The 21,772-nt window shown below is 48.9% G+C and overlaps 1 protein-coding gene across 26 annotated transcripts in view, besides 5 other annotated features; it reads right to left on the bottom strand.

Moving 5' to 3' along the window:
- The window catches only part of CTBP2 (C-terminal binding protein 2), a 178,147-nt gene that overhangs the window by 75,041 nt on the left and 81,334 nt on the right, over positions 1-21,772 (bottom strand). For 2 of the 26 annotated variants that reach the window (XM_047424668.1, XM_047424664.1), the window contains one exon: positions 15,386-15,486. The exons of the other annotated variants lie outside the window; for them this stretch is intronic. The gene's annotated coding sequence lies outside the window, so the exon portion shown is untranslated. The remainder of the gene's footprint in view (positions 1-15,385; positions 15,487-21,772) is intronic. 26 annotated transcript variants of the gene reach the window in all.
- Positions 2,251-2,452: a silencer, noted in NCBI's record as "fragment chr10:126750177-126750378 (GRCh37/hg19 assembly coordinates)". NCBI's record gives its function as "represses an EF-1alpha promoter that drives an FKBP-Casp9 reporter gene in an ReSE screen in HepG2 liver carcinoma cells {active_cell/tissue: HepG2}" and the evidence as "EXISTENCE:reporter gene assay evidence [ECO:0000049][PMID:32094911]".
- Positions 2,331-2,380: an enhancer, noted in NCBI's record as "active region_4190". NCBI's record gives its function as "activates an Ori minimal core promoter by ATAC-STARR-seq in GM12878 lymphoblastoid cells {active_cell/tissue: GM12878}" and the evidence as "EXISTENCE:reporter gene assay evidence [ECO:0000049][PMID:35858748]".
- Positions 2,791-2,870: an enhancer, noted in NCBI's record as "active region_4191". NCBI's record gives its function as "activates an Ori minimal core promoter by ATAC-STARR-seq in GM12878 lymphoblastoid cells {active_cell/tissue: GM12878}" and the evidence as "EXISTENCE:reporter gene assay evidence [ECO:0000049][PMID:35858748]".
- Positions 3,626-4,223: an enhancer, noted in NCBI's record as "H3K27ac-H3K4me1 hESC enhancer chr10:126751552-126752149 (GRCh37/hg19 assembly coordinates)". NCBI's record gives its function as "activates a minimal SCP1, AML or CMV promoter by ChIP-STARR-seq in primed H9 embryonic stem cells {active_cell/tissue: H9 hESC(primed)}" and the evidence as "EXISTENCE:reporter gene assay evidence [ECO:0000049][PMID:30033119]".
- Positions 19,409-19,910: an enhancer, noted in NCBI's record as "H3K4me1 hESC enhancer chr10:126767335-126767836 (GRCh37/hg19 assembly coordinates)". NCBI's record gives its function as "activates a minimal SCP1, AML or CMV promoter by ChIP-STARR-seq in naive H9 embryonic stem cells {active_cell/tissue: H9 hESC(naive)}" and the evidence as "EXISTENCE:reporter gene assay evidence [ECO:0000049][PMID:30033119]".

Raw genomic sequence — 21,772 nt, forward strand, 5'->3', positions numbered from 1 at the left:
GTCACTTGAGGTCAGGAGTTCAACACCAACCTGGCCAACATAGCAAAACCCCGTCTCTACTTAAAATACAAAAAATTAGCCGGGTGTGGTGGTGCACGCCTGTAATCCCAGCTACTCGGGAGGCTGAAGCATTAGAATGGCTTGAACCTGGGAGGTGGAGGTTGCAGTGAGCAGAGATTGCATCACTGCACTCCAGCCAAAAGTGACATGATTTAGATGGAATTTACTCCAGACCCAAGGCTTGTCACCACCAACCCATCCTGATCCACACCTGACCTGGACCCATTAGCCTAATGTCCACGCTAAGATTTTCACACTGTTTTTTGACGTCGACCCCAGAAGCCATGCTCCAAGGCCACTGACACTGCATCAGTGGGCAGCTCAGTGTGCTGCCCCTCTCGCCCCGCCAATTTCCTGCCCGCCCACCCCCACCAGCTCCAGGAGGCGGAATCTGTCAGCTTGTCAGCGTTTGTCTGGATTCACTGGGAGTCAGGAAGGGGCCTGTTTGGGAGCTTGTGTTGGGTCTGGCTTTGCTGATCTTTTGTGGGGAGACACTTAGGATGAAATGGGGTAAAGGACAGAAAAGGCTCACCTGCAGGACCTCGCGGGTTAGCCACGAGTCTGACACACCTGAGCCTGCCCCACTGCCCATCCCTGGAGTCATCCTTCCCGGGGGCCAAAGGCTCTTCCATGTCACTTTAGTTATCATATGGCGGGCAGATTCGAACCGTCTATCCCAGTCACTCTTTTGAAGAGTGAACAATATGGAGAATGTGAACATATGTGGCCACGCAGCTGATGTACACAAGCATTCCCCACAGCCATTTATTTTAAGGCACCGTGTGCTATTTTTATCCTCCACAGAAATGCTGCCAAGGGAATCCGCAGAGGAAAACAAAGCTCTGGAGCTGAGCGGGTTACTCTGACTTCACTCTTCACACGACAAATGATCATAGCATACTATTTGCCACCTTGTCTCAGAGACAAATGTCATGAAATAAGTCACTCGTCATTATTTGAGTTCAAGTACTTTTTCTTAAAACATGGCTTTTAAACAGAAATGCATTTTTCCTTAACTACTGGTCATGATATTCCATTCCCCCCACGTGTGTGTGTGTGTGTGTGTGTGTGTGTGTGTGTGTGTACATGTGTGTGTCTGTTGCGGCTTACCTGCAACACTGGTTCTGAGCAAGTGAAAAACTTGCAAATGTGTTGTGGAAGAGAATGGCAATGCTCATCCCCAGCAGGGAACGTTCCCGAGTTTCCATCTCTGCCTGTGATTATGTGCAGGGCAGTCATGCGGAAGAGGGATTGGGTGTATTCTGCGTGGGCAGAACCATGACCAGGAGAGAGGGGAAGCCAAGAGGAGAGATTGCAGATGGATAAAGAAGTTTCTCACAGTCGAGGAATAAGAAGCACACGGGCAGGCTTCCCCAGAGAGGCCGGTGCCCCAACCTAGAGGACACGAAGCCGAGGCCAGGACTGTGGACCGCAGCTGGAGACCCCTCTTGACCCGCGGGGGCTGGTGTGCTAAGGTGCAAAGGGAGGAAAGAGCAACATGCAGGGTGACACCTGCAGACAGTTCTCCCTGTTCTGGAATCTTCCGGTCGGCCCCAGGGGTGCACGCTAGGGCAGCCCATAGCCAGCCCCTGCTAGATCCCGGCTCCCGGCAACCCTCAATGCTGAACTCTCCCAGGATTCCTGCGGTGGCAAACAGCCCTGGTATGTACCATTTTATTTTCACTCAAAACATCCTTCCTGGGACCATCCCAGCAAGCTGAGCATACTATTTTCAACTAAGGCCCTGGCATTGTCTAGGAATGTTTTCAGGGCTAAGCAAATTGCTAAAGCAAACATCTTATTTTCGTCTGCAAGGACAGCCAAGCGCTGTAAAAATACTTCCCGATAGGACTTCCAGTGGAACGGCCCCCTCTGGTGGCGCTGTTGGCACCAGACACTCTGGTTCAGGGGAAAGCTCTCGCTGGGCATCCGGGGCGACACCCACACTTCCCTTGACGGTGGCTCCACTGGCAGCCGCCCTGCTCCACACCCCTAGCTGCCCCAGGGGAAGGCCAGAGAAGGCCTGTGGACAGGAAGGGGTACAGGCCCTGCAGCGCCAGGAACAGGACCTCCCTCACCTCTCCTCCTCCTTGCTCCAAGGAACAGCCAGTTTGACACCAAATCCCACACATCCCAGTTCCAGGAGTGGCCTGGGACTCAGACACCAGGTGATCTGGGTATGGGAGGATATAACAGCGTCTACGGCAGCAAAGCCTGAGGCCCCCACACCAAGCCAGAGGCAACTGAGAGCTGGTACCACAGGCCAGACGGAGCCCCCGTGCAGCATCCTGGACCTGTGAGCTGGCCTGCATTCCTGGGTTCTCAGATGCACCTCGGTGAGGTGCCACCTCCTCACGGTCACTGCAACTGTCACACCCTTACTGAGAGGAGCAGCTGTAGCAATAAGCAGGCTCCCCGGCTCACGGCATCCTGGACACTGTTCCCGTCACTTTGCATGAATTCACTCATTCCTCCCAACAGTCTTAGGAACCAGGTATGCTTTCCTCATCTAAAATGACTAAACAGAGGCCCAGGGTAGAAAACAACGGGCCAAAGACACAGCTGGGGTGGAGGTGGGACCGAAGCCGGGTAGCCCAGGGATCGTCCACGCCCTGAGTTTGTGATGGACCTAAACTCCTGTGTGTTTCACTTCCTGTTTCAATTGCTAAACCGAGAGGGCCCTTAGCGACTGCTCCCACCAGGGCTGGAGAAGCAGAACCCAGCGGACTCAAAACGGTGCCTACAGGGGAAAACGGGGTGAGCAGGGGACGACTGAGTCCAGCCTCGGTTCTGGACTACTAGAAAGAGGTGCCCCTGAATGGGGGGACACAGGGGTGCTCTCAAAACTCAGCAAATGTTAGTCCTTTTATTTTAGGAAAATACACTGAACTATTTGTTGATGTAATAGAAGCTAGGGTTTACTGTATAATGGCCTAGTAGGGTGTGTCTGTAAGAGAACGCACGTGAAATGAGGGTGATGAGGACATCTGCTTTTTTAAGTCTGTCCTGTTTAAAGCTCTAACACTGTAACGTGGGGACAACTCTGAAGGCTGCGGGGAGGTTCTGGGACAGCAGACACCCGCTGGCAGCACGCAGCAGAACTCAGCGCGAGGGGTTAGAGTTAGGGTTAGGGTCGCTGCCATCAGTAATAAAAAATACGGAGGGACCGGGTGCGGTAGCTCACACCTATAATCCCAGCACTTTGGGAAGCCAAGGCAGCTGGATCACCTGAGGTCAGTTTAAGACCAGCCTGGTCAACATGATGAAACCTCCTCTCTACTAAAAATACAAAAAATTAGCCGGGTGCGGTGGCACACGCCTGTAATCCCAGCTACTCAGGAGGGTTGAGGCAGGATAATCTCTTGAACCTGGGAGATGGAGGTTGCACTGAGCTGAGATTGCGCCACTGGGCGCCTGGGCAACAAAGCGAGACTCTATCTCAAAAAAATAAAATAAAATAAAAAATAAACCACTGAGGGCACCCAAGGAACAACATCTGCTGTGCACCCGTTTTCCTAATGGCCCCAAGAGAGGCTGGCTGAACAGACAACTATGCTCAGATGATCTTTCTGGCGTTCCAGTGAGCAGGCTGGGCCTCCACAGGAAGAGAGCTCAGCCAAAGAAAGGACAGCTCCCCAGCAGCGAGGCAGGGCCCTGGGCAGCTGTGCACAGCCTCGGCCAGCCTCGAGCTGGACCTCAGCCGCAACTGTGTGCTGTGCTAAATGGCCATCATTGGTGGAACCAAAAACGAACAATGGGAAAATTATCACATTATCCTTCTACGAAGCAATCTGGAAAGCTAATTACGTGTTACTCTGCGCACATCTTCATCTCTGATGTGGAAACAGCATGGGCGAATCGGTCTGGTGGGGAAAAACATCATACTTAAGAAATACGGAGAATTTATTTCTCCGCAAGCCACATACGTGTTTTACCCCACACGTCATGAGGCCTGTGGCACCCCGATGGGGACTGAGCATTCACTCTTCTGCCCACGTGAGGAACCAACAAAAGCTGGCAAGGACACCCCAGGATAACACCCAAACACGTCGACTCGTGCGAAAGGCCTCATGCACGATCCTTTCTTGCTGTGGCAAAACCGTTAAGTTTCTCTCAACACACACAAAACCGAAGTAAAATGCTCATCCTCTGGCTCCCCTACAGTAGTAAAAATTAATTGCCACATAAAATTGCTGATTCCTACCAAATGAAGCTGTACGATTTATCAGCTCATGGATGGCGCAAACTCAATGGTGGTTTAACTACATCACCTGAGTTATTGCTGTGTTTTCTCTCAGTGACAGCTTTACGGGGAATGTAAGTTTTGCGAATTCATTCATGTAGGACAAACTTCCAAAGTAAACAAAAGCATTAAGCAGACACAGCTCTCCCGTGGCTATGTCACAGCGATTCTCAAAGCCACAGGGTGTCTGGGCAAGAAGGGTGGACACCCCGTGTAGGGACCCCTGCAGCAACTCCATCAGGCACGGTTTTCCCCCACCCCCAGGCTGCAGTGCCACCTTCCAGGGGTGCTCTCTGCTGAAGCCCTCAACCCCCCGCACCCCAACTTTAGAGGCCATCGTAATTTAATTATCCAACTCCAATTCCACATAGGAATCCAGTTATTTAAAATGCATTAAAAAAATAAATCACTGCCAGTAGGTTTTGTATTTTTGGCCAGGACAAAGAATTTATAAACAGCTTATATATATGGTGTGGAAGACAGTTAGATGGTGAATACCTCAGGGAACACCATAGTCTCCTCGGTTTTCACCAGAGTTTGCCTGGGAGCCGGGACATCCCTATCATTTTATGGGCTATTTCTGTTTTCTTCATCATTTGTCCCCTGTCCATTAGACAACAATGGATTGATCTTTTTCTAATCTGAATTAGGCCAGGCACAAACAGGTAAGTTACCTTCCGGTTTCCATAATTACGGGAACAGGCAAGTACTTCTTCCAAACTCAGGCCTTCAGAGAAAAATAACTGTGGTGGGAGGGGTGCAATCCCTGGGGAAACAGCGTTCTTGGTGAGGACAATGCTGAGGTCACCCATCGGTCTCCGAAGAATAGCAGTTCTACTTCTCAAGGGAAGAGAGCCCCAACTCTAAGAATTTCAGGTACATGAAAAAAAAGTGCCACAATCCATTGTCCAAGTTTGCCTTATGTTCTATTTATAGTCAGAGTGCGTGCTCTGAATCTGTTTTAGAATCATGTTCTTCAGGACAACTTGAAATAAAAATCAGAGAAGTTTAGTTTCAAAAAAGGCAGAGAGGTGACTATCCACCCAGGAGACTTCACCCATTCCCGCCACGCCAGTGTCCCCAGTCAGCCTTGACCCTGCTTCCCTGACTGTGTAGTGAGATGTGGGGATTCAGCCCAAGGCTTGTGGTTAAAGACAGAGGAAGAAAAGACAAAGAATGAAACCTTTCTGGTTTGGTGACTTAGCTCAGAGCTGGTCTGGCTCTTCTCTACTTTCTTGCCAAGTTTTGCATATTTGGGATTTCAGTTTCACAAGCTTCCCCACCTCACTGGTTTTACTGCTTAACGAGCAGAGAATATGCTCTAATGATTATCTGAAACACACCCACAGGTAACCACAACTGTTTCACACAGAACAGGAAATGCCCAGCAAAGAAACTCTCACTTGATGATGAAATGTTTGCCACTAGAAAATACATCGTACTGTCCCCATTCCATGGGCTCCCCAAACCACTCTGCACAAAAACTGTGGTTGCGGAGGGGCTGCTTGACAGACTGTTCTTTGACTGGGCTCTTCAGGTTCCAGTCTTTCCAGGGAGGTCCAGCCATCATCAGATCCAAATGGAAGTCTTGCAACTGGGGCACTCTGCTTGAACTCAAATGCCCCCAACAAGAGCCTTGTTCTCTTTGTGATGATTTCCTGTGCTGCACACATGAATCTGTGCTTTTCTCAATGTGCACTTTTTAAAAAATTGAAAACAACCCAAGGATGAGTCAACATTTTAATGCAGCTCATACCTGACTGTCAACTTCAGCAAAATAAAGGGAAGGAAGAGCAAAGCCCGCAGGGGCTTTGGGGAAGGCGAGGTGGCGAAGGGAAGAGGCAGGATCCGGCTAACAAATGCCAGTATCAGGGAAATACCAAGTCCACATCCTGCGCAGTCAGCTCCCCAGGATTTGTTTTTGTGGGTCTCTGAGCTGAGAGCTAAGGGGGCCGGAGGGAGAAAGTGGGAGGTAAAGTTAGAGGAGGGACTCACTGTAGGAGCACACTGCCAGCTCTTGTGGCCAGCCCCAGTGGAAAAGAAATCCCACTAAATTTACATCCATTCGTGCTCCATATGAAGAAGCTGAGGGTCACTGTCCTCTTCTAGCTATTTCATTCAGCTGGCTTTCCAGTCTATCAGAAAAATGCCATCATCGGCTGGGTGTGGTGACTCTCACCTATAATCCCAACACTTTGGGAGGCTGAGGTGGGCGGATAGCTTGAGCCTAGGATAGCTTGAGACCAGCCTGGGCAACATGGCGAAACCCTGTCCTAAGAAAAATACAAAAATTAGCCTGGCTTGGTGGCATGCGCCTGTAATCCCAGCTACCCAGGTGGCTGAGGTGGGAGGATCGCTTGAGCCCAGAAGGCAGAGGTTACAGTGAGCCCTGATTGTGCCATGGCACTCTAGCCAAAAAAAAAAAGCCGTCATCTTCTTGATGGTGAACTCCCTCTAATGCTCAGGCTGATGTCCTAACACCCAGGACAACGTCTGAGTGACCAGTGGCTCTTGGCTGAGGGATGTGAGCTATGAGCCCCTACATCACAGCTTCTGTTAACATGGCGATGGCTAGGCACAGGCAGCCACCCCTCTACCAAGCCACATCCCAAATCCTAACCCCAGCAGAGCCAGAGACTCAATGCTTTGTGTCACATGGAGCTACCAACATCAGGACCAGCGAGAAATCGGGAAAACATCAAGTCAGAACGTCCCGTGCCTTCTAAGCAGTCAGGTGCATGCACCATGCTAGGTGAGTGCAGGGCAGGAACGGAAGGCAAGCAGGGTGCGCAGATGTAACGGGGGAAGCAGGCACGGCCAAGCACCCTAGAAAGTGCTGTCATGTTTCGTACAGGAGCCTGCTGGGGGTAGCTCACGGGGACTGGAAGCATGGCCCTGAAGTGTGGGCAGCATCTTTTCTGTTTGCACGACTCAAAGTCTGCCTGGTGGAGGAGGGTGACACCTGCACAGAAGCCAGGGAGCACAGTGCACCAACCTTCAGTGTAATCTCCAGTCCTGCCACTGACTCGTGAGCTGTGTGACTCTGGGTACATCACCTGAGCCCTTCACACCTGGGGGTTTCTTATCCATAAATGGAACGACCTCACCAGAATTTTAAAATGTAACAAAAAAGGAACTAGCCCATGTGTCGATCAGTAAATGCCTCAGGGTGAACTCGAGAATCCAGAAGTCTCCAGGGAAGCCCAGTGTGTGCGACGTGCCTCTTCCTATCTCCCCTGGGCAGTCTTCCCAGCTCCATGGAAAAGTCTTTGGTCAGCTGAACGCAGGCAAGGCTGCTGAATTCCTGAAGTCCCCGCCTGACCACCAGGCCCAGGTATAAGGGAAGGGCGACTCCTACTGATGGACAACCAGACACCCCCCACGTCCACCTGCTATGTGGGGCGATTCATTATTGGCCGGCAAAGGCTTACACTTTTTTCTTTCAAGAATTTTTTTATTTAGAGATTACACAAAAAAAGTCTTCTGTGAAACCCATAACCCAGCCCAGGAATGAGAAAAACATCACACAAACTGCAGTAGAGGGACAATCCACAAAATATACTATCATAATCAAAACTGTCAAGGTCATCAAAAATAAGGAAAGACTGTGAAACTGCCACCGCCATGTGGGGCCTAAGGAGAAAGACAGTGACATACAAGGTGAAAAACTGGACAGGATTCTGGGATGGAAAAAGGATATCAGATCATCAGAATACAATGTAGACTTCAGTTAATATTAATGTATTGATAATTGGTTCATTAATTTTAATAAATGTCTCATACTAATGTAATGTCAAATGATAATAAGGAAACTAGGTGAGGAGATACGGAACTCTCCATGTAACCTTCTAGACGTTTCTGTAAATCAAACTGTTCTTAAAAATATCCATTTAGAAGGGAAAAAACTGCTTTTATATATGCCATTTATCAAACTTCTTATCTTACCATCTCAAAACCCAGGCAAAGGATATAATGTAAACCAAAATATGAGAGAAATCAAAGGAAAATATTAATGGCACGCATAACCCTCATTCTCTTTCTCTCAAAGCAGTAAGTTATAGCAAGTGTCAGCTGTCAGTCTGTGCACGTAGCCTTTAGTTCAAGGAAGGCCCTGACCTGTACACTGACCCAAGCATCAAGTCCCATGGGCAGGGCCCATGGTGGGACTCCCTGACCCGCGTCATTCTGTGCCCTCACCTCTGAAGCCGCCAAGTGCAGTGTCTGCCCAAGAAGCCACCGGGCTGCAGACCCAGGGCGGGTCCGATGTATACCCTAGGAGGCACCCCCAATTTCACCTCTCCTTGGTGGGCCTCTCACCTGTCCACTTGCCACAGGATCTACCTGCCCTCTGGTGCCAAGCAACAACGGATGAATACCCACTACCTCCAGACAGTCAGATGGGCCTCAACTCAGCCCCAACAAGCAGCCAGAAAGCAAAGCGAGGAAGATGACAGCCAATTTCACCATGCGGCCCAGGCCCACAGACTCCAGAGGATTTTGGGAAGCTTCACAGCTGCACCAGAGTTCTGCCCCACGACCATCCTGATCTGCGAAGGACACGTCCATTCTGACCACAGATGTTCACTGAGCCTCTGCTAGGCACAGGGTGAACACCATACAATGACCATTCCCAAATTCAGGAGTGTGAAACTTCATCTACATTAAAGAATTCAAACTACGTAGACAGGGAGTTATATAAACCAAAAGAAAATGTTAATTTGCACACATAACCCCATCCCCTTTCTCTCAAAATAGCAAGTTATAAAAATCTAGAAAGTAGAGAACATTTTATTTGCAGTTTGGATAACCTAAGGTTTACTGAGCAATGAAACTGAGAATGTTTCCACTAACACACAGGCCACAGGTTTCAGGGCAGCAGGAAGGCCAGGAAGGAGCAAGTGTCCTGGAGGTGGCAGCTTTGTCTCTATACCACACCACAGATGCTGGCTGTCCCGGAACAAGATGGCCAGGGTGCAAAGGTCTTAGTGCCATGGCCGAGACAACTACTGGGTTTCCCAGTGTGGTCCCTTGGGTGAGGGAGCTGCAGAGGACTCATCAGCACCCTATGCAGAGGGGTTTCTGAGCACAGGACCAGGCCCTGGAAGGTGGGAGTCTTGAGACCAGCAGGGCTGCAGGAGGTACTCCCTGAGTCACCTATTCCCTTGCAACTTGGAGGTCAGGGTTGCTTTGCCCTGCTGGGGGAATCTGCCCCTGCTGTCTCCGAGGCCCCACTCTCCCCTCAGCCAGCTGGAGCACCGGGTTCTCCTTTGGATCCTGACACGCGACCTTAGACAACTTATTTTACTGCTGATCCTCCCATCGCAGGCTGGGGCAGGGAGATCAGCTACAGGAACAGAAGGGAACGATGCACTCACAGGGCTGGGGTAGAGCTGGTGCCCACCCCCACCACTAGCCAAACAGTCTCGGGGCTGGCCTCTTCCAGGGGCCTTTCTCAGGACCAAGGGTTTCCTGTTCCCTGCCTGTCTTGGCTGAGTGACCACCTCCCCTAATAGCTGCCTGCCAGCCAGCTCCTACAAATCAGGACCTTCTATTGACAACACTACAAATTGCGTTATGATTTTATAAAGCTTTAAATTCCAAAATCAGTATTGGAATTAGTCCAACTTGTAAACGCCCACAATGATGAGTTTCAAACACACAAAAATACTGCCTATGGCCAAGTGCGGTGGCTCACACCCGTTATCCCAGCACTTTGGGAGGCCGAGGTGCGTGGATCAACTGAGGTTGGGAGTTCAAGACCAGCCTGGCCAACATGGTGAAACCCCATCTCTACTGAAAATACAAAAATTAGCTGGGCGTTGTGGTGCACACCTGTAATCCCAGCTACTCAGGAGGCTGAGGCAGGAGAACTGCCACGAACCCAGGAGGCAGAGGTTGTAGTGAGCCTGAGATCGTGCCATTGCACACCAGCCTGGGCGACAGAGTGAGACTTCATCTCAAACAAACAAGAAAACAAAATTACTGGCTGAAAGTTTCCATTAAGACAAGCTTGTTTTCCAATATTAAATCCCCAAGCCAGGACACGGTCATTTCTGTTTGTTGTGCCATCTAATCAGGACATGGAGATTTCTGCTGAGAGTCTCCCCTTTAATGGAGGTTCTCACAGAGTATTTTGTTGTTTCCCTACTCCCCAACTCCACCACCATCAGGAAGTTGACAGAAAGTAAAGATGTAAAATTACTTCCTTTTCCATACCCTGCCCCCCTCCCCCCCCCACACAAACCCCAAAAGAAGTGAATATAGAAAGATAAAAAGTTACCCTAAGTAACTACAGACTTTGGATAACAATGGATCAATTACTTTGGGAGGCCTAGCTGGGCCAATCACTTGAGCTCAGCAGTTTTATATATATATATGGGTCATTAATTGTAACAAATGCATCATACCGGCTGGGCACGGGTGGCTCAGGCCTGTAGTCCCAGCACTTTGGGAGGCCGAGGCAGGCGGATCACAAAGTCAGGAGATCTACACCACCCTGGCTAACAAGGTGAAACCCGGTCTCTACTAAAAATACAAAAAATTAGCCAGGTGTGGTGGCACGTGCCTGCAGGCCCAGATACTTGGGAGGCTGAGGCAGGAGAATCCCTTGAACTGGGGAGGCAGATGTTGCAGTGAGCCGAGATCGTGCCACTGCACTCCAGCCTGAGTGACAGAGAGAGACTCTGTCTCAAACAAACAAACAAAAAACAAATGTATCGTACTAATGTAAGATGTTAATTATAGGGAAAGGCCAGGTGGGGTGGCTCATGCCTGTAATCCCAGAGCTTTGGGAGGCTGAGCCGGCAGGATAGCTTGAGTCCAGAAACTACAGACTTCAGCGAGCTATGATGGGGCCACTACATTCCAGCCTGGGTGACAGTGAGACTCAATTTCTAAAAAATGATAATGATAATAATAATAATAATGATTACCAATTTTAATACGGAAAACTGGGTGTGAGGTATATGAAATCTGTATTATCATCACAATTTTTATGTAAATCTAAAATTTTTTCTATTTTTTGAGAGGGAGTCTCGTTCTGTTGCCCAGGCTGGAGTGCAGTGGTGTGATCTCAGCTCACTGCAGCCTCCGCTTCTGGAGTTCAAGTGATTCTCCTGCCTCAGCCTCCCAAGTTGCTGGGATTACAGGCATCTGCCGCCACGCCCGGCTAATTTTGTATTTTTAGTAGAGGCAGGATTTCACGTTGGCCAGGCTGCTCTCAGTCTCCCAAAGTGCCAGGATTACGGGTGCGAGCCACCATGCTTGGCCTAAAATTTTTCTAAAATAAAAACTTTTTAACCAAAGAAAAAAAGAAAATCACCCACTTCCCTCACACTGCATTCCTGCAAAGACAAAATGCCCCGTATGCGGTGATTGCTTCCCTCCCCAATTCTGAGCAGATGCTGCTCTCTGTTGCATGGAAGCATATTCCAGGCACATCCAGATGCTCCCGAGCCGTGTGCCAGGGCTGCCACGACCTCGTATCTGTGCCCCACTCACCCATGCAACCACCGCCTGCTGAGAGGGGAAACAGAGGCAGCGAGGGGCAGGCTCCCTGCTCTGGGAAGGGAAGGAGCATTTGCGGGAAGGCCCAAGAACATGAGAGCCTGGTTGAAGGCCACTGGACGGCCCTTGGCACTGGACTAGGGGGCCAGCCAGGGATTCAGGGATGATGGAAAAACCAGGAAATATTAATAAAATGCAGAACACTTGCTGTGTGCTCCTGATGGAGGAAGCAGCAAAGCCGGCTAACAAATTGGTCATTGGTACAGTGAGCCTGAGCCCAAGTGGGACAGGAAATTAATCCAACATGCTGAAGACCTGAGTTCCAACTGCTGGAACAAGGCGAAGGGGTCCCACCCCAAAAGTGAAGTAAGACCTGAAAGATGGCAGTAAAAACTTACAAGATGCAAATTAAAACAGAGCTAATGGTGATGACAGCTGGCCAAGGAACAGGAGAATGGACCAGTCCGCCAGGTTTTGAAGAGCTTTTTTAGAAAGCAAGGCTGACTAGAGCCAGTGAAGAATAAAACGCTTAGAAGAAAGACAGTAACTCTCTAAAACCATAGTTAATGGTCCAATGGTTCTTCCTTCCATCACAAAACCAAATTCCCAGATACCGTGAAATGCGTACCACCACCCCCAAACATTCCCAAAGCAGACCCTGCACCTTTGCAAATGCTGCAGATTAAGAAACAGAGGATGCAAGCAGGAAACGGAATCTGGCAACTGTTGTTGAGGGGAATGGGCCGGAACAGTCAGCTGCCCGCAGGGTACTTGGTGGAAGACAAGAGGTCAAGACAGGCACTTCCTCTGGGCTGAGGGTGGCCAGTCTGGGCCCTAGACATCCACACCATGGACAAACCCTGAGACCTGGACATGGGCTTTTCTGGCCAGAACATAATCCACATACATGGCCGGGCACGGTGGCTCACGAGGTCAGGAGTTCGAGACCAGCCTGGCCAATATGGTGAAACCCCATCTCTACTAAAAATACAAAAATTAGCCAGGCATGGTGGCGTGCGCCTGTAGTTCCAGCTACTCGGGAGGCTGTGGTTGCAGTGAGCCAAGATGGCGCCACTGCACTCCAGCCTGGAGAGACTCCGTCTCAAAAAAGAAAAAGGAATCCACGTACAGCTCCTATCTGTCCTGCAAGAAAAGGAAATTGACGAAGCTGGGTGCAGTGACTCACGTCTGTAATTCCAGCATTTTGAGAGGCCAAGGTGGGTGAATTACCTGAGGTCAGGAGTTTGACACCAGCCTTGCCAACATGGTGAAACCTCATCTCTACTAAAAACAAAAACAATTAGTCAGGTGTGATGGCAGGCGCCTGTAATCCCAGGTCCTCGGGAGACTGAGGCAAGAGAATTGCTCTAACCTGGGAAGCGGAGGCTGCAGTGAGCCAGGATTGCACCACTGCACTCCAGCCTGGACAACAGAGTGCAGAGTGAGACTCTGTCTCAAAAAAGAAAAGAAAAAAAAAAAAAAAAAAAAAAAGGAAACTGACAAGAAGGCCAAAACAAAGAAACAGATGCCAATTGCTTGGGGCCCTCATGGTAGCTGGGGAGGAACTACCACCTACCACTGGCATGGCTGATTCCCCAAGTAACTGCCTGCAGGTCCCTGGAGCACACACAGGATCTTGTAGCAGGACCTGCAGGCTCAAATCAAGTAAAAGCTAGTCTCAGATATTCAGTATGTTCCCCTTGATACATGTCTCAGGACTAATTATTTTACAAGGCCCCAAATCACTAACAAAACTGTTGACTACAGTTTTGGCAATCATCATTTAAGTCATTACTAACGGTTGGATGCAATAAATAGAGATGACAGAATGGCAAACAGCTGAGATCCCACCTCCAGAGCCCAAGAACACAGTGTCAGAGAAAGCTAACAGCCACAGCAGTTCCACGCCGGCTCGCCCAAGTCTTCAGATGTGGCCCTGCCCAATAAATCAGTGTCTGCAATGGCAAGGGCCACTCTCTTACATTTTACATCATCTTTCTTTCTTAATCTCAATGTTGATGATGTCCACTTAGAAGCTCAAAAACACGATGAGATTTCTTCAATGGCTTCTGCATCTCTCTTTTTTTTGAGATGGAGTCTCCCTCTGTCGCCAGGCTGGAGTGCAGTGACGCCATCTTGGCTCACCGCAGCCTCCCGAGTTCAATTGACCAGGTTCAAGCGATTCTCCTGCCTCAGGCTCCTGAGTAACTGGAATTACAAGCGTGCACCACCACACCCAGCTATATTTTGTATTTTTAGTAGAGACAGGGCTTCACCATGTTGGCCAGGCTGGTCAACTCTTGACCTCAAGTGATCCGCCCGCCTTGGCCCCCCAAAGTGCTGGGATTACAGGCGTGAGCCATCATGCATGGCTGGTTTCTGCACCTCTTTCAAATGGGATTTATTTTTTAAAGTAAGATAAACATGTTAATAAAATTGGAAACCGATTTGTACGTGGCAAACAATTTTTAGGTGGAAAGTCAACTGCCTTGATTCATATAGGCATTTATACAAATTGTTATGGCTATAGCAGCTAAGTTTCACCAAAAAGAAAGATACAAGTAAATTTCTCTTAGAACATAGTGAAGTTCACCAGGACTGGACACATAAAATGGCCAGCATCTCTGCGTGCTGCCCCCCGGAAAGGGTCCGGACATGGCGACATATGAGAGGGAAAACTCCTCCCAATCAGGGTCTGGTGCTGGTTGGAGTCTGTCTGATGTCATCTTTCCCAGGACGGTCTGTTCTTACTCCCACGGCCCAGGCGTGGAAACCGTGAACCCTGATCTTCAATCCCACCCAGCACCACAGAATGCTGGGGATGTTCTCAGTACCTGTTCAGCTGTATCTCTCCCCCTCAGCACTGTTGGTATTTTAGGCTTAACAATTATTTGTGGTGGGGGGCCTTCCTGTGCATTGTGGTATGTTCATAAGCCTGGCCTCTACCCTCTAGATACCAGCAGCATTCCCCCTCTCTGAATATGATAATCAGTCCCTCAAGGCAAAGTCTCCTGAAAGCAGCAGCTACATGAAGGTCTCAGAGAATATAGTGAACATAAGGAAGAATGTAACAAAATAGCTCAGGGCAACAAGGATCCCCTGCAGACAATTGGCTGTAGGCAATGACCTGTCTGGTGCACCATGAAGACCTAGCTGGGATGCACCCTCTGCAGTGAACACTGTCTTTTTTTCTTTCTTTTTCTTTGAGACAGAGTTTTGCACTTTTCACCCAGGCTGGAGTGCAGTGGTGCATTCTCTGCTCACTGCAACCTCTGCCTCGCGGGTTCAAGCGATTCTCCTGCCTCAGCCTCCTGAGTAGCTGGGATCACAGGCGCCCGCCATCACACCCAGCAATTTTTGTATTTTTGGTAGAGACGGGGTTTCACCGTGGCTGGTCTCAAACTCCTGACTTCAGGTGATCCGCCCGCCTCGGCCTCCCAAAGTGCTGGGTTACAGGCATGAGCCACAGTGCCTGGCGAACACTGTCCTTTTCACATTGAAGTAAGTGTGACTGGGTGTACGTTTCAGAGTGCACAGCATGTATTCAGTGTTGTTCTCCAGTAACTTCTTTCTTACCTTGAAGCACTCTGTGTAGTACTTCCGTTTCCTTGGCCCTTCTCAACAACTTGGACCCCACACATCACTCAGGGCTGTTCCTCATCAGCTACAGGTTTAACCTGGCAGAGAAGTACAATGAGCTGAGATGGCAGCTCAATGGCACAGTGACACTGGAGCCACCTGTGGAACCATGAGTCCTACCTTGACTACGACTTCCACAGGCGGAGCCGAGAAAACAATAATAGGTGGGAACCTGGACTCCTAACTGACGCCAGGCAGACTCAATAAAGTAAACCAAACTTTTAAAAGAAAACAAAGGAGAATGTCCTAAGGATCTTGGGTAGACAACGGTGATCTAAGACACAAATGCATCAACCATAAAATCTAAGACTAGCCATCATAAAAAGCTTCTGCTCATCAAAAAGATTATAGAGTGACAATACAAAGTAAGAACATATTTCAGTAAAAATATGCAACAATGGTCTTCCATCTAGAATATATCAAGAATTTCTACAGTTCCAGTATACCACAGTTCGCATATGGCCCCCAAGAAGAGTATGCTGGAAACTTAATCCCCCATCATTCTGGGAGGTGGGGCGTTAATGAGGTGATTAGGCCATGAGGCTCTACCCCCATTAATGAATCAATGCTGTTATCGTGCGAGTGGGTTCCTTATAAAAAGGTGAATTTTATTCCCTTTTCTCTTTCTCCTCTCTCTTTGCCCCTTGGTCAGGGAATGACACACCAAGAAGACCCTCGCCAGATGCCAACCTTGTGATCTTGGACTTCCCAACCTCAAAAACTGCAAGCCAATTTCTATTCATTATAAATTACTCATTCTGTGGTATTCTGTTACAGCAGCACAAAATGGACTAAGACACGGTAAGAAAAAAATCCAGACAAAGCAATTTTTAGAACAGGCAAAAGACTTGACAGGAACTTAAGAGAATACCCAAATAGCCAATGAAAAGGTATCTAATATGCACCAGGAAAATATAGATTAAAACGTGCTGAGGTTCTACTACAAATGCACCAGAATTGCCAAATGCAGAGGATAATGCTAAGAATTGCCAAAGCTGTGGAACACAACTCCCATGCGCAGCTGGCAGGAGTGGAAATCGGTACAACTCTTCTAGAAAACCACCAGGCGGTTTCTACCAAAGCTGAGCATGTGTATCCCAATGGGCCAGCAATCTTCTTCTAGGTATGTGCTCAACAGACATGCGTGTAGCACATGTGCACCAAATGACATGATCATGGCAGCAGCATCCCTAACAGCTCAAAGCTACAAATCCCAAATGACCACGCACAGAATGGGTGTATAATCTGTGCTATCATCACACAATGGAACCGTACACAGAAATGAACTACTCCCTCCCTCCCTCCCATGAGGAGCCTCCTCTATTCCTTTCTTTTCCCAAGCTCCAGACCCCCATTACCCCACTATCATCCCTTAACACCACAGGCAGCATCCACCTCTGGGCCACAGAAGACGACCCTGAGCAAACGTGGCTTAAGGCTCCAACCCTGTCAACTCCACTCAGGTGGGCTGGGGTGTGACACTGGCCCTGGAAGGCTGGTCCAGGCAGCAGCTGGGTTCTAGCCCCAGCTCAACCACTTTGGGAGCACGGCCATCGCCCAGTCAGCTCTGGCCCCTACACACCATGGGAGGCTCAACTTCAAGGAGGGTCAAGATCTCCTCTGGGTCCAGAAGATCTCCTCTAGGTTCAGTTCTGTCCAGGAACACTGTCACCACTCAGCTCTTTCCCCAGGAACTCGGCCACCTCCCTTCTTTCATCACAGCCCCACACTCCTTCCAGCTCCTTCCACTCACACAAAAGAGCACCTGGGACTTGAGAGGCAGCGCGCCTCTCCACGCAGCACAGACTTCACTTTCCGAGTTCTCCTGCCACCGACCTGACGTGGAAGACACACTTGGCACAAAAGGACCAGACAAAACCCAGTGCCAGTCAGGTCGGCGTTGTTCTGAGAAGGCAGAGAGAAAAACAGAAACTGAGTTGTAGCAGGGGTTAACAATTTTATATCCACTCTGGCAAGAGATGGCTCGTTCCTTGTGCACTGTCTACGTATTTCCCTATTTCATCCCTGGAGAGTTTAAATGTCCAGAAAGGTTTCTTCCTTCCCAGACCCTCTTCATCCTTCCCCCTTTAAATGGTCATTTCTGCCAAGAATCATCTGTCTCGCTACTTCCTGCTGGTCCATTAATTACAATAACAAGAAATAACCCTGCAGTGATGTCATCCAAACTTTTACTTCCTGTAGCGAACGCACAGGTCAGGCCAACTGATGTGTGTGTCCAGATGCGCCACGCCTCCATTTTGAAAAGAGAAAAAATTCACCACTCTTGCACTCCATGAAAGCTTTTGTGTGTCCAGAAGCACTCACCCCAAGGTTTTATAAGTTAAATAAAAATGAAATGCGTGTCAGGCACCGCTACCACCAAAATGTCGCTATTGTAAGCGGAAAACAAGCCACTGATTGTGCAGAGCTGTGAATGTAGGTTTATATACATAAAGAAAAGCCACATTTTCAAGACACATGTAATGAGATGCAGGGTATAAGACACATTCAGCGTTTCCAGCATGTGTGAGCTGGGGAAGAGTTGGTTTCTGCAGAGTTGGTTTCTGACATCAGCAGGGATAAGGCGGCACCTGTTGGGGATGGAGTGACTCCCTTATCTGTGTTCTTAGAGCAACAGGACTGGAGACGGGGAAGGAAGAACCCCCATCTGGCTCCAAACTCCCCGGGCTCGCAGAAAGGGCTCACTCACCCCCTCACCAGGCCTGGCAGCCAATAGTAATCGGTGTGGTTCATTTTTTGAAGGGATCAAAGAATAAAGCCACATCCAACAGCACATTCTGGAAAGTTCTGGGCTTGGGATTACCAACAAAAAGGGCTCTCTGACACAAACAACTGGGAGCCTGCCTAAAAGAACCCTGAAAACCCAGGTCAGCTGAAGAAATCACCCATGAAAAAGCTGGGGGCACCGTGGTGATGCCCACCCCAGCTGATGCCCACGGGACCCCTGGCCCTCTGCCTCCCGTGTTCAACCTCAGCTCACCTCTCATTTAGTCCAAACGGGGCCACCATTTGGAGTCTGTTCTGTGATTTCAGCACCTGGTATTCAAAGTTATCTTAGGTTGTGGCTTAAGCAGCCAAGTCTGACTTCAGATTCAGCCCTGGGTGGTGCTGATGGGGGGAGGTGGGGGCTGCTCTGACCCCTTCATCACAATTCCCATAAGAACCTTTCTCAGGCCGGGCGCGGTGGCTCACGCCTGTAATCCCAGCACTTTGGGAGGCCAAGACGGGCAGATCACGAGGTCAGGAGATCGACACCATCCTGGCTAACACGGTGAAACCCCGTCTCTACTAAAAATACAAAAAATTAGCCAGGCATGGTGGCAGGCGCCTGTAGTCCCAGTTACTCTGGAGGCTGAGGCAGGAGAATGGCATGAACCTGGCAGGCGGAGCTTGTAGTGAGCCGAGATCGCGCCTCTGCACTCCAGCCTGGGCGACAGAGCGAGACTCCGTCTCAAAAAAAAAAAAAAAAAAAAACCTTTCTCATGGGAGGATGGGCTTGGGCGTTGAGATCAACAGAGGAGGGAGGTTCTAGGACATATTTCCTAGGCGAAGATAGGTCCAAGAAGATTATTTTTGTCTACAGCCTGCTAGAAACAAGGTCTTATCAATTATTATTGATTACAAAGCCACTTCGTCACCTCAAACTGCCTGTTCTGTGGCAACCCCAAGATTGTTCTACTTCCACAGCCTTTTTTTTTTTTTAAACCCAACACACACTGGCCATTTCCTCACAAATTCTACCAGGGTTGACTTCAAAGTGTCGGGGGGAAAGTGCTGTTTTGAGTTGACACGAGGTCACAGACAAGCCAAGCTGCGATGGTTGGGGACAGCTCTGGAGGCGGAGCAATCACCGGATCCTGTAGAGATGGCCAAAGCCAGGAGGACTTCTTCAGATACCTCTAGGGACTCATGACTCTCACCCAGGGCTTAATCTGACCCTTACCAATAATAATGTTCTTTCTTTTTCCTGCTGTGTTTTCCTACCATTCATTACAAATTTTAGACCAATCAAAAAATTTGGAATAACCAGGCCTGGCACGGTGGCTCGTGCTTGTAATCCCAGCATTCTGGGAGGCTGAGGCGGGCAGATCATTTTGGGGTCAGGAGTTCAAGACCAGCCTGGCCAACATGGTGAAACCCTGTCTCTACTAAAAATACAAAAAAAAAAAAACGAGCCGGGCATGGTGACGAGTGCCTGTAATGCCAGCTACTCGGGAGGCTAAGGAACGAGAATTGCTTGAACCCAGGAGGCAAAGGTTGCAGTGAGTCAAGATCATGCCACTGCACTCCTGCCTGGGTGACAGAGTGAGACCTTGTCTCGAGGAAAAAAAAAAAAAAAAAAAAAAGGTGGAAAAACCAGCCCCTGATGGGCCACCAGGAGCTTTCGGGAGCCTGCCCGGGATATCACCCGGCTCCACCATGTGTGACGCTCCTGCTCTAAAGTACACGGAGGACACAGGGCACAGCGCCTTTCACAGCCACTGGCTCACATGCCAGTCCACGGTTCCCAGCGGTGGCGGCATTCCTCTCCAGGGAGGAAAATGCTACAGAATATTCACCACCGGTCAATTCATCTGCCCGGTTGGATCTCCTTCCAAACTTAAAATCTAGGGATTCAGTCCTGCGAATGCCATACTCCGCATTCTCCTTACACAGATTGAGATCAACAGTGGGTTGGTTTCAATAAGATATGAAGAAACAATGAGGCAAGACCATTTTGAAACAGCCCATTATACATACAGAAAATCCAATCAAGCCTTGGCTACAAAAACAGAAGGGTGGGCCGAGCACTAGCATGTCATTAATTATTAATTCTCCTGTAATGTCCCAATATGGACTAAATAACCTATTCCCACAGGAAAATGTATTGTCATTGACAATAGAAGACCAAAATATCTATAATGGTTGCTAATTTGAATAGAATCAGTTCCACGCTTAGGACAAGTGACTATTCCAATGGAGAGTTTATTTACAAGGCATTTTCTCACATGATGCAGGGAGACTGATTTAGAAATTGCAATCCTCTCTCCTGTGATGAAAACCACTTCCACGATTAAGCACTCCATGGAGAAGTACTTACTTACAAGCTTTCCTTTGGATTCTGAATGTTTTCTGCAGATTTTAAACAGAGTCGGCTCACCCTCCATTCCTGGTAACCATGCTAAATGGTTTCGATACTGTACCTGAGCATTTAAGTGATCCTGTCAAATAAAACGTTCCTCCAAGTTAACTCCGCTGTATATTTATGCACTTAATATCACAGCTTACTGCAAAGTGCACAAATCATTTTAACAGAGTATAAATTTAACTACCATGAAGGCATTTTATACTCTGTTTAACTTCACTGAGGGGCCCATATTTTTTGGAGAAGATAAATCATGCTTCCATATAACTTGACTTAGGGGAACAGCAGTCAAAACTCACAAAGAGAAATACACCCAGTTTCCTTGGATTAGGGGTAAAAAAAAAACACACACCCACACCGTCAACCAAGACATCTGTCACCCGTACCTCTTACCAAGCAGTGGTAGCCACCAGTGCACCCAGCCCAGGGCAGGTGGGCTAAGTGAGGGGCTGGGCCATGAGAGTGCACTCTCCTCTGCCCCTGGTCACTGTCCTCTGGCCGTTCTGGAACAATGGGGATTGAGCGCTGTCGACCTGACAACACCCCTAGCATGGGAGGGCTGCCACCTGTGCCATCTTGGCTGTCATCATTGGAAACACAATCTCCTGTGGATCTTTTCTAAAAGGAGCTCCAGGCCCCACTGCCAAAGGGTCTCCAGACGCACATAAGAAATTTAAAAAGGGGGAAAAATAGTCACGCAAGAAATCCATGCATACAGCAGCTGAAGTCATCAATTATTTATTGAATGAGGGAACCTTAGCCATGGCCCATCTGGAAGGGCCAGACTTAGGTCTCAAGCTGTGCCCTGCAGGTCAACAGCAGGAGCTCTTCTGACCTGATAGGAGTCTCTGAACTCAACTCAGGGTCACAGGAGTGCACTTTTAACGTTCAGTGGAGGCAACTGCACATGCGTCACCTCCACAAATTAAGGGCACAGCGCTGCCTCCCACATCCCATACCCAGACCTGGTATGTTACGATGCACAAAATCATGTACAGGACTTAAAAAAAAAAAAAAGGAGATTGAGATAATAGCTTTACAGTGGAGAAAGACGGACTCGATCTTAGCCAAGTGATCAAAGTTAACCCCACCAATAATAAGATAAATTCACATGATGTGCCCTCCTAATCCGCTGTGCTGACAACAACAGTGGGTCCTGAGCATTCCCGCCCAAAGTG

Source organism: Homo sapiens, chromosome 10 (genome assembly GCF_000001405.40).
Source record: "Homo sapiens chromosome 10, GRCh38.p14 Primary Assembly".
NCBI lineage: Eukaryota > Metazoa > Chordata > Mammalia > Primates > Hominidae > Homo > Homo sapiens.